This window comes from Homo sapiens, chromosome 10 (genome assembly GCF_000001405.40).
Source record: "Homo sapiens chromosome 10, GRCh38.p14 Primary Assembly".
In the NCBI taxonomy this organism is placed as follows: domain Eukaryota; kingdom Metazoa; phylum Chordata; class Mammalia; order Primates; family Hominidae; genus Homo; species Homo sapiens.
In genome coordinates, this window is record NC_000010.11 from 70628350 (window position 1) to 70642282 (window position 13933).

At 42.6% G+C, this 13933-nt stretch overlaps 2 annotated features.

Moving 5' to 3' along the window:
* Nucleotides 3412–4043: an enhancer, noted in NCBI's record as "NANOG-H3K27ac-H3K4me1 hESC enhancer chr10:72391517-72392148 (GRCh37/hg19 assembly coordinates)". NCBI's record gives its function as "activates a minimal SCP1, AML or CMV promoter by ChIP-STARR-seq in primed H9 embryonic stem cells {active_cell/tissue: H9 hESC(primed)}" and the evidence as "EXISTENCE:reporter gene assay evidence [ECO:0000049][PMID:30033119]".
* Nucleotides 8724–8909: a silencer, noted in NCBI's record as "fragment chr10:72396829-72397014 (GRCh37/hg19 assembly coordinates)". NCBI's record gives its function as "represses an EF-1alpha promoter that drives an FKBP-Casp9 reporter gene in an ReSE screen in K562 erythroleukemia cells {active_cell/tissue: K562}" and the evidence as "EXISTENCE:reporter gene assay evidence [ECO:0000049][PMID:32094911]".

The window sequence follows — 13933 nt, forward strand, 5'->3', positions numbered from 1 at the left end:
CCAAGATCAAGACACCAGCAGATTTGGTGTCTGGTGAGGGCTCACTCACTCCTTCATAGATGGCACCTTCTTGTTGTGTCCTTACATGTGAGAAGGGGCAAACAAACTCCCTTGGGGCTTCTTTTATAAGGGCACCCATCCCATTCCTTAGGGTAGAGCTTTCATGACCTAATTATCTCTAAATGCCCCATTTCCTAATACCATATTGGGAATTAGGTTTCAACATATAGATTCAGGGGCTGGGGGACACAAACATTCAAGACCACAGCATTGTCTTTTTGGTTGTAGCCATCTTAGTGGGTGTGAAGTGACATCTCATTTTGGTTTTGATTTATGTTTCCCTAAGGACTAATGTTGAACACAGTTTTATGTACTTATTGGTAATTTTGTATCTGTTATTTGGAGAAATGTTTATTCAGATACTTTGCCCATATTTTATTTCGGTATTTGTCTTTTTATTTAGTTGTAATTTTTTAATGTATTCTGGATACTAGATCCTTGTTAGACATATGATTTGCAAAAACTTTTTCCCACTCTAGGTTGTCTTTTCACTTTTTTGATAATGTTCTTTGATGCACAAAAGTTTCAAATTTTGATAAATTTCAATTTATTTATTTTTTTGCTTATGCTTTTGGTGTCATATCTAAGAAACAGTTGCCTAATCTGAAGTTGAAAAGATTTGGGCCTATGTTTTCTTCTAAGAGTCTTATAATACAGTTGACCTTTGAACAAGACAGGTTTGAACTGTGCAGGTCCACATATATGTGGATTTTTTCCAATAAATATATTGGGAATTTTTTTGGAGATTTACAACAATTTGAAAAAACTCACAGATGAACCACATAGCCTAGAAATATTAAAAAAAAAACATAAGAAAAAGTTAGGTATATCATGAACGCATAAAATATATGTAGACACAGTTTATTTTATTATTTACAACCATAAAATGTACACAAATCTATTATAAAAAGTTAAAACTTATCAAAACTTACAAATACAAACACTGACCTTATAAGGCACCATTCAGAGTTGAGAGAAACGTAAACAAATGTAAAGATACAGTATTAAATCATAATTGCTTCAAAACAACTGTAGTCCATACTGCACTATTGTGATAACTGCATAGCCACCTCCTGTTGCTATTGCAGTGAGACCAAGTGTTGTGAGTATCTGCCTAAAACACCATGTGATGCTAATCACTCCATGTGGGCAGCTCATCTCTCCAGTAAAATTGCATATCACAGTAAAAAGTGATCTCTTGGCCAGGTGTGGTGGCTCATGCTTGTAATCCCAGCATTTTGGGAGGCTGAGGAAGGAGGATCACTTGAGCCCAGGAGTTTGAGACCAGCCTGAGCAACATAAGGAAACCCTGTTTCTACAAAAAATAAAAACAATTAGCCAGGTGTTGGCACCGATCTGTGGTCCCAGCTACTAGGGAGGCTGAGGTGGGAGGATTGCTTGAGCCCAGGAGGTTGAGGCTGCCACTGCCATGATCATGCCACTGCACTTTTTTTTGGGGGGGGGAGGGGGAAAAGGTCTCACTCTGTTGCCCAGACTAAGTGAGAATCTCTATGGTTCTCATGTTTTGTTTTGTTTTTAATTGCATTTAGTGCAATACCATAAATCTTGAATAACACCAGGGGACCCATATGAAGTGCCACTAGAGATGCTGGAGGTGTTACCAAGTATTAGAGAAAAGTCATTACATTACAAGAAAAAGTTGAATTGCTTGATATGTACCATAGATTGAGGTCTGCTGCTGCAGTTGTCCATCATTTCAAGACAAATGAATCCAGGATAAGGGCTATCATAAAAAAAAAAGAGAAGGAAATTAGCAAAATTGTTGCTGCAGCCACAACAGCAGGCATAAAAACTTTGCACTTGTTTTGAAATACCCTTGTATTTAATATTTAAAATGCAGCTTTTATGTGGGTGCAGGATTGCTGTAATAAAGACATACCTATAAACTCTAATATGATTCAAGAAAAAGCAAAGGCATTACATGACAACTGAAAGCAAAAAGAAGGTGAAGGATCAAAAGCTGGAGAACTTAATACTAGCAAAGGATGGTTTGATCATTTAAGCCAAAGAGGTTTGGCTTAAGAAATGTCAAGATGGGATGCTGAGCCGAAGCTGGACTGTACTGCTGCCATCTTGGCTCACTGCAACCTCCCTGCCTGATTCTCCTGCCGCAGCCTGCCGAGTGCCTGCCATTGCAGGCGCGTGCCGCCACGCCTGACTGGTTTTCGTATTTTTTTGGTGGAGACGGGGTTTCGCTGTGTTGGCCGGGCTGGTCTCCAGCTCCTAGCCGCAAGTGATCTGCCAGCCTCGGCCTCCCGAGGTGCCGGGATTGCAGACAGAGTCTCGTTCACTCAGTGCTCAATGGTGCCCAGGCTGGAGTGCAGTGGCGTGATCTCGGCTCGCTACTACCTCCACCTCCCAGCCACCTGCCTTGGCCTCCCAAAGTGCAGAGATTGCAGGCTCTGCCCGGCCGCCACCCTGTCTGGGAAGTGAGGAGCGTCTCTGCCTGGCCGCCCATCGTCTGGGATGTGAGGAGCCCCTCTGCCTGGCTGCCCAGTCTGGAAAGTGAGGAGCGTCTCTGCCCGGCGGCCATCCCATCTAGGAAGTGAGGAGCACCTCTTCCCGGCCGCCATCCCATCTAGGGAGTGAGGAGCATCTCTGCCCGGCTGCCCATTGTCTGAGATGTGGGGAGCGCCTCTGCCCCGCTGCCCCATCTGGGATGTAAGGAGCGCCTCTGCCCGGCCGTGACCCCGTCTGGGAGGTGAGGAGCGTCTCTGCCCGGCCTCCCCGTCTGAGAAGTGAGGAGACCCTCTGCCTGGCAACCGCCCAGTCTGAGAAGTGAGGAGCCCCTCCGCCCGGCAGCCGCCCCATCTGAGAAGTGAGGAGCCCCTCTGCCCGGCAGCCGCCCAGTCTGAGAAGTGAGGAGCCCCTCCGCCCGGCAGCCGCCCCATCTGAGAAGTGAGGAGCCCCTCTGCCCGGCAGCCACCCCGTCTGGGAGGGAGGTGGGGGGGTCAGCCCCCCGCCCGGCCAGCCGCCCCGTCCGGGAGGTGAGGGGCGCCTCTGCCCGGCCGCCCCTACTGGGAAGTGAGGCGCCCCTCTGCCCGGCCACCACCCCGTCTGGGAGGTGTACCCAACAGCTCATTGAGAACGGGCCATGATGACAATGGCGGTTTTGTGGAATAGAAAGGGGGGAAAGGTGGGGAAAAGATTGAGAAATCGGATGGTTGCCGTGTCTGTGTAGAAAGGTAGACATGGGAGACTTTTCATTTTGTTCTGTACTAAGAAAAATTCTTCTGCCTTGGGATCCTGTTGATCTGTGACCTTACCCCCAACCCTGTGCTCTCTGAAACGTGTGCTGTGTCCACTCAGGGTTAAATGGATTAAGGGCGGTGCAAGATGTGCTTTGTTAAACAGATGCTTGAAGGCAGCATGCTCGTTAAGAGTCATCACCACTCCCTAATCTCAAGTACCCAGGGACACAAACACTGCGGAAGGCCGCAGGGTCCTCTGCCTAGGAAAACCAGAGACCTTTGTTCACTTATCTGCTGACCTTCCCTCCACTACTGTCCTATGACCCTGCCAAATCCCCCTCTGCGAGAAACACCCAAGAATGATCAATTAAAAAAAAAAAAAGAAATGAGAAAAAGAAAAAAAAAATGTCAAGATGACAGGAAGAGGAGCTTCTGCTGATCAAAAGGCAGCAGACGAGTTTCCAGATGCCTTTAAGAAAATCATTGTGGAGGCTGGGCATGGTGGCTCATACCTGTAATCTCAGCACTTTGGGAGACCGAGGAGGAAGGATGGCTTGAGCTTAGGAATTTGAGACCAGCCATGGCAACATAGTGAGATCTCATCTCCACTAAAAATAAAATAACATTACATATGTTAGTAAGGAGAAAAGTCAGCATCAGGATTTACTCCAGGAAGGGATAAATTAACTCTACTATTTTGTGCAAATGCAGTCAGACATATGATCAGGACTGCCTTTATCTATAAGGCTGCTAACCCCTGTGCCATGAAGAGAAAAGATAAACACCAGCTGCCAGTCTTTTTGTTGTACAACAAGAAGGCTTGGACAATGAGAACCCTTTCTGGATTGGTTCCATTAATGCTTTGTCCCTGAAGTTAGGAAACATCTTGCCAGTAAGGACTGTCTTTTAAAGTTCTTTTGATATTGGACAATATTCCTGGCCACCCAGAACCCCATCGGTTCAACACTGAAGGTATTGAAGTAGTGTACTTGCTCCCAAATACGTCTCTAATTCAGCCCCTAGATCAGGTGGCCATAAGAACCTTTAAGGCTCATTACACACCACACTCTATGGAATAAAGGATTGTCAATGTGATGGAAGAAAACCAAGACAGAGAGAATATCACGAATATCTGGGAGGATTACACCATTAAAGATGTCATCATTGCTACAGAAAAAGCTGTGAAAGCCATCAAGCCTGAATCAATAAATTCCTGCTGGAGAAAACTGTGTCCAGATGTTGTGCATGACTTCGTAGGATTTATGACAGAGCCAATCAAAGAACTCAAAACAGAGATTGTGGTTATGGCAAAAAGGTCGGGGGATGGTGGTGAAGGGTTTCAAGATATGGATCTTGGAGAAATTCAAGAGCTAATAGACACCACATCAGAGGAATTAATAGAAGATGACTTGATGGAGATGAATGCTTCCAAACAACTGCAAGATGATGAGAAAGAAGACACAGAACAAATAGCGCCAGAAACAAATTGACATTAGACAATCTGGCAGAAGCGTTCCAATTATTCAAGACTACTCTTGACTTTTACAACAGGGACATTCTACAGGCACTGAAACTAAAGCAAATGGTGGAAGAAGGCGTGGGACCACATAGAAACATGTTTAGAGAAATAAAAAAGCAAAAAAGTCAGATAGAAAGTAGGATGTATTTCTGTAAAGTTACACTGAGCGAGCCTTCCTCTCCTGCCTCCCCTTCCACCTCCTCCATCTCTTCTGCCTCTGTCACCCGAGACAGCAAGATCAACCCCCTCCCTTTCTTCAGCCTACTAAACGTGAACATCAAGAGGATGAAGACATTTATGATGATACACTTCTATTAAATGAACAGTAAATATATTTGCTTTTTCTTGTGATTATCTTTACATTTCCTTTCTCTAGCTTCCTTTATTGTAACAATATAGTATATGATATACACAATATATGAAATATGTTAATCACCTGTGTATGTTAATGGTAAGGCTTCTGGTCACCACCTAATCACCTCTTAAAAGTGCCACCTGGTCCCACCTCTTTTTTTGTTTGTTTGTTTTTTTAAATTTGAGACAGAGTCTTACTCACTGTAACCTCCGCCTCCTGGGTTCAAGCAATTGTCCTGCCTCAGCCTCCTGAGCAGCTGGGACTGCAGGTGTGCACCACCACGCCCAGCTAATTTTTGTATTTTTAGTAGAGACAGGGTTTAACCATGTAAGCCAGGCTGGTCTAAAACTCCTGACCTCAAGTGATCCGCCTGTCTCAGCCTCCCAAAATGTTGGGATTACAGGCGTGAGCCACTGTGCCCGGCTTGGTCCCACCTCTTATACTGTCCCAATGACAATTAAATTCCGACATGAGTTTTGGAGGTGACACGCAAACCATAGCAGTCCTGAAGACAAGAGGTGCAGCACACCGTGCAGGTCCACATGGGAAAGATGCCAGGGAGGGCAGGAGGCAGAAGAGAGGAGCAAGGGACAGACTGGGGCCAGAGCCTTTCCTGGGGCTTCCTTGGAGAGGGAAGGCAAGGCAGGATGAACAGTTTAGGATTGGCTGTGTTGAACCATTTCAGTGGGCTTTGGGCTCTAGGGGTGTACCCAGCCGTCTGCCACCTGGCCCTAGGATGAGTAAGGCAGAAGGATGAGTAAGGCAGAGGGAGGAGTGAGGCAGAGGGAGGAGTGAGGCAGAGGTGTGGCTCTGCGTTGGCTAGTTTGCATTTGAAAGACCCACTCCCGGCAGGGCCCTTTGCTGTCTTTCAGAATTGGCTAATTAGTTGGAGGGGAGGTCTGTCCCCAGTTAGAAATGTTTTTTTTTCTTTGTTTTTATTTTAAATTTGATTTTTAGGATGTCAAACTATTATAATATTGTTATATACAAAGTTTTGGTGCCGCAAAAGGAATAGCACTTGAATATAAAATTTTCTTTTTAATTCTCAGCAAGGCAAGTTACTTCTATATAGAAGGGTGCACCCTTACAGATGGAACAATGGTGAGCGCACACTTGGACAAGGGAGGGGGAAGGGTTCTTATCCCTGATGCACGTGGCCCCTGCTGCTGTATCGTTCCCCTATTGGCTAGGGTTAGACCACACAGGCTAAACTAATTCCGATTGGCTAATTTAAAGAGAATGGGGTGAGTGCTTTGGCGGGAGTCAGGGTAGAGCAGGTAGCAGGTAATTGGAATGAGTTAGGGTGGAGCAGGTGATTGGAATGTAGGGTGGAGCAGGTGATCAGAATGAGTCAGGGTGGAGTAGGTAATTGGAATGAGTCAAGGTGGAGTAGGTAATTGAAAAAGGTTGCTTTAAGAGGAAGTTAAGTTTAAAAGTAGGAGGCAAATAATTGAACATACTGACATATTAATTATTTGAAAAGAAATTTAGAACTCATATCTAACAATATGCAGAAAATTTAAAACATTTACAATAAAGTTTATTTCTGGATTCTCATTTCATTTTTTTTTTGTCACTCAGGCTGGGGTGCAGTGTCGTGATCTCAGCTCACGGTAACCTCTGCCTCCCAGGTTCAAGTGATTCTCCTGTCTCAGCCTCCCAAGTAGCTAGGATTACAGGAGTGTGCCACCACATCCAGCTAATTTTTGTATTTTTAGTAGAAATGAGGTTTCACCATGTTGGCCAGTCTGGTCTTGAACTCCTGACCTCAAGCGATCTGCTTGCCTCCGCCTCCCAAAGTGCTGGGATTACAGGCGTGAGCCACCGTGCCTGGCCTGGATTCTCATTTCTATCCCATTGACCTTTTATGTTTATCCTTTGGCAATACCACAAAGTCTTAGTTACGATAGCAGAAAATCCATTTATTTATTTATTTATTTTTGAGGTAGAGTCTTGCTATGTCGCCCAGGCTGGGGTGCAGTGGTGCCATCATAGCTCACTGCATGTTCCATGGCGTACCTCTTCAAACTCCTCGCCTCAAAGGATTCTCCTATCTCGACTTCCCACAGTGCTGGGATTATAGGCCTGACCTACTGTGCCTGGCTAGAAAATCAATTTAATCTTTTAAAAAACAAATAAACACACACACACACACACACACACACACACACACACACAAACACAAACACATTCCTACAAAGATAACTCTAGGCCTAAACCGTGGGTTTCATCCAAATATTTAGGGGCAATATAACATTAATCTTACCTAAAACTTTCCAGGGAAAACAGTTCCTTCATTTTATGAGGTCAGAATCACCTTGATCACAGAACTTCACAAGAATATTATAAAACATAAAAATTACAGGTAAGTCTCTCTCATAATCATAGATGTAAAAATTCCAAAAATGTTTTAGCAAATTGAATCCGGCAGTATATAAAAAAGATAATCTGACATGACAAAGCTGGGTTTATTCCAGCTTTGGAAAGGATGCAAGGATGGCTTATTATTTGGGAATCAATCAACATAATTTATCATATAACAGAGTAAAAGGATAAAAAAATCATATGATAATCTCAGTAGATGTAGGCAAAGCATGCAATAAAATTTGATACTCTTTCATGATTAAAAAACTCAACAATTTAAGAATGAGAATTACAGGTAGCATCATACTTGAAGTTGAAATATTAAATAATTTTTCTTGGAAAATGGAATAAGACCAGGGGGCTTGCTTTCACCAGCTGTATTCAACAGGCACTGGGTTGCATCCAGTATAAGCAAGAAAAGGAAATAAAGGCCTATGATTGGAAAGAAATAAAACAATCATTTTTTGAAGATGACATATTGAGTAAATTGAAAATGGAAAGAATCTAATAAAAAATGATTCAATTAATAAGTAAATTAGTAATGCCACTGGATTCAAAGTAGACATACCAGCAACAATCATAAAATGAAATACAAAGAAGGATTTCATTTATGGGAGCATCATAATACAACAAATTCCTAGGGATAAGTTTAGTGAAGGATGACTGCTATACAAAAATCTCCAAAACACGTACCGAGGGAAATCATGTAAGGGAGAGATATGTCAACATTCATGAATTAGAAAATTCAAGATTGTAGACAAGTCATTACTCCCTAATTTGATCGGCATTTGTAATGCAATCCCAGTAAAAACCCTAAGGTTCTGTTATGGAAATGTACATGCAAATTCTAAAATTTATAGAAAATATAAAGAGCCAAGGCTAGTCAAGAATAGATAGAAACCAAAGCTGGAATGGAGAACTTGTACCACCAAATATAAAGACTTGTTATAAACCTACGATAACTAAGTCAGTGTGGTATTAGCATAAATATAGAAAAATAGGCCAATGGGGCTGAATAAGGTCCAGAAACAAATACCCACATATGGTCACCAGAATGGTGACATGCAAGTCACTGAAATGCAATGAAAGAATGTTCTTTTCAATAAATGGTAGATGAAATTTGGATACCCAGAGAGGAAAAAGATGTATCTTGAATCTCACTGTACCCCATATGAAATAAATTCCAGCTGGATGTAGAACTAAATGTGAAAAACAGCAAATCCATAAGAAAAAGGCAAAAAGCGGCCGGGCGTGGCAGCTCACGCCTGTAATCCCAGCATTTTGGGAGGCAGAGGCGGGTGGATCACTTGAGCCCAGGAGCTCAAGACCAGCCTAGGCAACATAGGGAGTCCTATCTCTACAAAAAACACAAAAATTAGCCAGGCGTGGTGGCGCATGCCTGTAGTCCCAGCTACTAGCGAGGCTGAGGTAGGAGAATCACCTGAGCCCTAGGAGGTTGAGGGTGCAGTGAGTTGTGGTCACACCACTGCACTCCAGTCTGGGCGACAGAGTGAGACCCTATCTAAAAACAAACAAACAAACAAATCAAACAAACAGAAAAAGAAAAAGGAGGCAAAAAACATCAAACTGTTTAAATAACTATTTAGTAATTTTTTAAAAGGTAAACATACATACACCTAAGAGCAAGCAGTCCCACTCCTGCCCCCATAGAAATAATTGCTTATGTCCAACAAAGGATATGTACAAGACTGGTCATGGCAGTGCTGTGCATAAATAGCCCAAATGGAAACAACCCAAATGCCCATAAACAATAGGATGGGTGAATAAATGATAGAATATTCATGCAATGGAATTTTATACAGCAGCAAAAAAATGATGAATGACTGATACAAGAGACAAGTATGGATGAATCTCACATAAAAATGTTGAATTTGAGACCAGCCTGGCCAACATAGTGAAACCCTGTCTCTACCAAAAATACAAAAAATTAGCTGGGTGCAGTGGCGGGCTCCTGTAATCCCAGCTACTTGGGAGGCTGAGGCAGGAGAATGGCTTGAACCCAGGAGGTGGAGGTTGCAGTGAGTCGAGATCACACCATTGCACTCCAGACCGGGCGACAGTGTGAGACTCCGTCTAAAAAAAAAAAAAAAAAAGTTGAGTGAACAAAACCAGACACAATAGAATACAAACTGTATGATTCCATGTAAATGAAATTTAAAATGGGGAAAATGAATCTGTGGCGACAGAAGTCAGAAGACTGGTCATTTTGTCAAGCAGTGTTAGGGATGGAGAGGGTAGTACATGGAGGGGCTTTCTGGACAGCTTATGATCCTTCCTTCCTTCCTTCCTTCCTTTCCTTTTTTTTTTTTTTTTTTTTTTTAAGACAGAGTCTCGCTCTTGTAGCCCAGGCTGGAGTGCAATGTGGCACGATCTCGGCTCACTGCAACCTCTGCCTCCTGGGTTCAAGCGATTCTCCTGCCTCAGCCTCCCGAGTAGCTGGGATTACAGGAAAGTACCACCATGCCTAGCTAATTTTTGTATTTTCAGTAGAGACAGAGTTTCGCCACGTTGGTCAGGCTGGCCTCGAACCCCTCAGGTGATCCTCTGCCTCAGCCTCCCAAAGTGCTGGGATTACAGGCGTGAGCCACCGCTCCTGGCCTATTATCTTGTTTTTCATGCCACATATATAAAGGAAATTTGTCAGTTGCATCATTCTTGCCATGAACTCTCATTATACCTTTACATTTAAAAGTTATCAGGCACAAATTAACCACAACCTTTTTTTCTGAGATGGAGTTTCGCTCTTGTTGCCCAGGCTGGAGTGCAATGGCGCGATCTCGGCTCACAGCAACCTCCGCCTCCCGGGTTCAAGCTATTCTCCTGCCTCAGCCTCCCGAGTAGCTGGGATTACAGGCATGCACCACCACCATGACTAATTTTGTATTTTTAGTAGAGATGGGGTTTCTCCATGTTGGTCAGGCTGGTCTTGAACTCCCGACCTCAGGTGATCTGCCCGCCTTGGCCTCCCAAAGTGCTGGGATTACAGGCATGAGCTGCCGCTCCCGGCAACCATTTTTTTTTTTTTTAAATAGGCTGGGCATGGTGGCTCATGCCTCTAATCCCAGCACTTTGGGAGGCCGAGGCGGGTGGACCACTTGAGGTCAGGAGTTTGAGACCAACCTGGCCAACATGATGAAACCTTGTCTCTACCAAAAAAAAAAAAAAAAAAAAAAAAAAAAATACAAAAATTAGCTGGGCATGGTGGCGTGCTCCTGTAGTCCCAGCTAGTCAGGAGGCTGAGGTGGGAGGATTGCCTCTACCTGAGAGGTGGAGATCACACCACTGCACTCCAGCCTGGGCGACAAAGACCCTGTCTTAAAAAAAAAAAAAAGAAAAAAGGAAAAAGTGAAAATAATTGTCCCATTATAAAATAAGTACCCTTGGGAGGTAGTGAGCTTCCCATCACTGGGGAGATGCAGACAGCTGCTGGTGCCTGAGCACTGGGTAGAGGAGTCGGCAGGGGCGGAGTATGTGCACTGGGGGAGAAGTGGGGCAGATCAGACCAGTGCATGCTGAGATTCTACTTTTTGGAGACTCTGCTTCTCACTATAAAGTGGCGTTCTGATATTTTAGACGCTTTTAAGTTTTTTTTTTAAATTATTATTTCTTTTTTATTATACTTTAAGTTCTAGGGTACATGTGCACAACGTGCAGTTTTGTTACATAGGTATACATGTGCCACGTTGGTTTGCTGCACCCATCAACTTGTCATTTACATTAAGTATTTCTCCTAATGCTATCCCTCCCCCAGCCCCTCACCCCCTGGCAGGCCCCGGTATGTGATGTTCCCGCCCTGTGTCCATGTGTTCTCATTGTTCAACTCCCACCTATGAGTGAGAACATGCAGTGTTTGGTTTTCTGTCCTTGTGATAGTTTGCTTAGAATGATGGTTTCTAGCTTCATCCATGTCCCTGCGAAGGACATGAATTCATCCTTTTTTATGGTTGCATAGTATTCCATGGTGTATATGTGCCACCTTCTCTTAATCCAGTCTATCGTTGATGGACATTTGGGTTGGTTCCAAGTCTTTGCTATTGTGAATAGTGCCACAATAAACATACGTGTGTGTGTATCATTATTGTAGAATGATTTATAATCCTTTGGGTATATGCCCAGTAATGGGATTGCTGGGTCAAATGGTATTTCTAGTTCTAGATCCTTGAGGAATCACCACACTGTCTTCCACAATGGTTGAACTAATTTACACTCCCACCAACTGTGTAAAAGCGTTCCTATTTCTCCACATCCTCTCCAGCATCTACTATTTCCTGACTTTTTAATGATTGCCTTTCTAACTGGCGTGAGATGGTATCTCATTGTGGTTTTGATTTGCATTTTTCTGATGACCAGTGATGATGAGCATTTTTACATGTCTGTTGGCTGCATAAATGTCTTATTTTGAGAAGTGTCTGTTCATATCCTTTTCCCACTTTTTGATGGGTTTTTTTTTTTCTTGTAAATTTGTTTAAGTTCTTTGTAGATTCTGGGTATTAGCCCTTTGTCAGATGGGTAGACTGTAAAAATTTTCTCCCATTCTGTAGGTTGCCTGTTCACTCTAATGATAGTTTATTTTGCTGTGGAGAAGCTCTTTAGTGTAATTAGATCCCATTTGTCTATTTTGGCTTTTGTTGCCATTGTTTTTGGTGTTTTAGTCATGAAGTCCTTGCCCATGCCTATGTCCTGAATGGTATTGCCTAGGTTTTCTTCTAGGGTTTTTTATGGTATTAGGGCTTACATTTAAGTCTTTAATCAGTCTTGAGTTAATTTTTGTATACAGTGTAAGAAAGGGATCCAGTTTCAGCTTTGTACATATGGCTAGTCAGTTTTCCCAGCACCATTTATTAAATAGGGAATCTTTTCCCCATTGCTTGTTTTTGTCAGGTTTGTCAAAGATCAGATGGTTGTAGATGTGTGGTGTTATTTCTGAGGCCTCTATTCTGCTCCATTCATTTATATATCTGTTTTGGTATCAGTACCATGCTTTTTTGGTTACTGTAGCCTTGTAGTATAGTTTGAAGTCAGGTAGCGTGATGCCTCCAGCTTTGTTCTTTTTGCTTAGGATTGACTTGGTGATGCGGGCTCTTTTTTGGTTCCATATGAACTTTAAAGTAGTTTTTTTCCAGTTCTGTGAAGAAAGGCAATGGTAGCTTGACGGGGATAGCATTGAATCTATAAATTACTTTGGGCAGTATGGCCATTTTCATGATATTGATTTTTCCTATCCATGAGCATGGAATGTTCTTCCATTTGTTTGTGTCCTCTTTTATTTCATTGAGCAGTGATTTATAGTTCTCCTTGAAGAGGTCCTTCACATCCCTTGTAAGTTGGATTCCTAGGTATTTTATTCTCTTTGAAGCAATTGTGAATGGGGGTTCACTCATGATTTGGCTCTCTGTTTGTCTGTTATTGGTGTATAGGAATGCTTGTGATTTTTGCACATTGATTTTGTATCCTGAGACTTTGCAGAAGTTGCTTATCAGCTTAAGGAGATTTTGGGCTGAGACGATGGGGTTTTCTAAATATAAAATCATGTCATCTGCAAACAGGGACAATTTCACTTCCTCCTTTCCTAATTAAATACCCTTTACTTCTTTCTCTTGCCTGATTTCCCTGGCCAGAACTTCCAACACTATGTTGAATAGGAGTGGTGAGAGAGGGCATCCTTGTCTTGTGCCGGTTTTCAAAGGGAATGCTTCCAGTTTTTGTCCATTCAGTATGATATTGGCTGTGGGTTTGTCATAAATAGCTCTTATTATTTTGAGATATGTTCCATCAATACATAGTTTATTGAGAGTTTTTAGCATGAAGAGCTGTTGAATTTTGTCGAAGGCCTTTTCTGCATCTATTGAGATAATCATGTGGTTTTGTCGTTGGTTCTGTTTATGTGATGGATTATGTTTATTGATTTGCATATGTTGAACCAGCCTTGCATCCCAGGGATGAAGCCAACTTGATCGTAATGGATAAGCTTTTTGATGTGCTGCTGGATTCGGTTTGCCAGGATTTTATTGAGGATTTTCGCATCGATGTTCATCAAGGATATTGGTCTAAAATTCTCTTTTTTGTGTGTCTCTGCCAGACTTTGGTATCAGGATGATGCTGACCTCATAATATGAGTTACGGAGGATTCCCTCTTTTTCTATTGATTGGAATAGTTTCAGAAGAAATGATACCAGCTCCTCTTTGTACCTCTGGTAGTATTCAGCTGTGAATCCATCTGGTCCTGGACTTTTTCTGGTTGGTAGGTTATTAATTATTGCCTCAATTTCAGAAACTGTTATTGGTCTATTCAGAGATTCAGCTTCTTCCTGGTTTAGTCTTGGGAGGGTGTATGTGTCCAGGAATTTATATATTTCTTCTAGATTTTCTAGTTTATTTGCGTAGAGGTGTTTATAGTTTTCT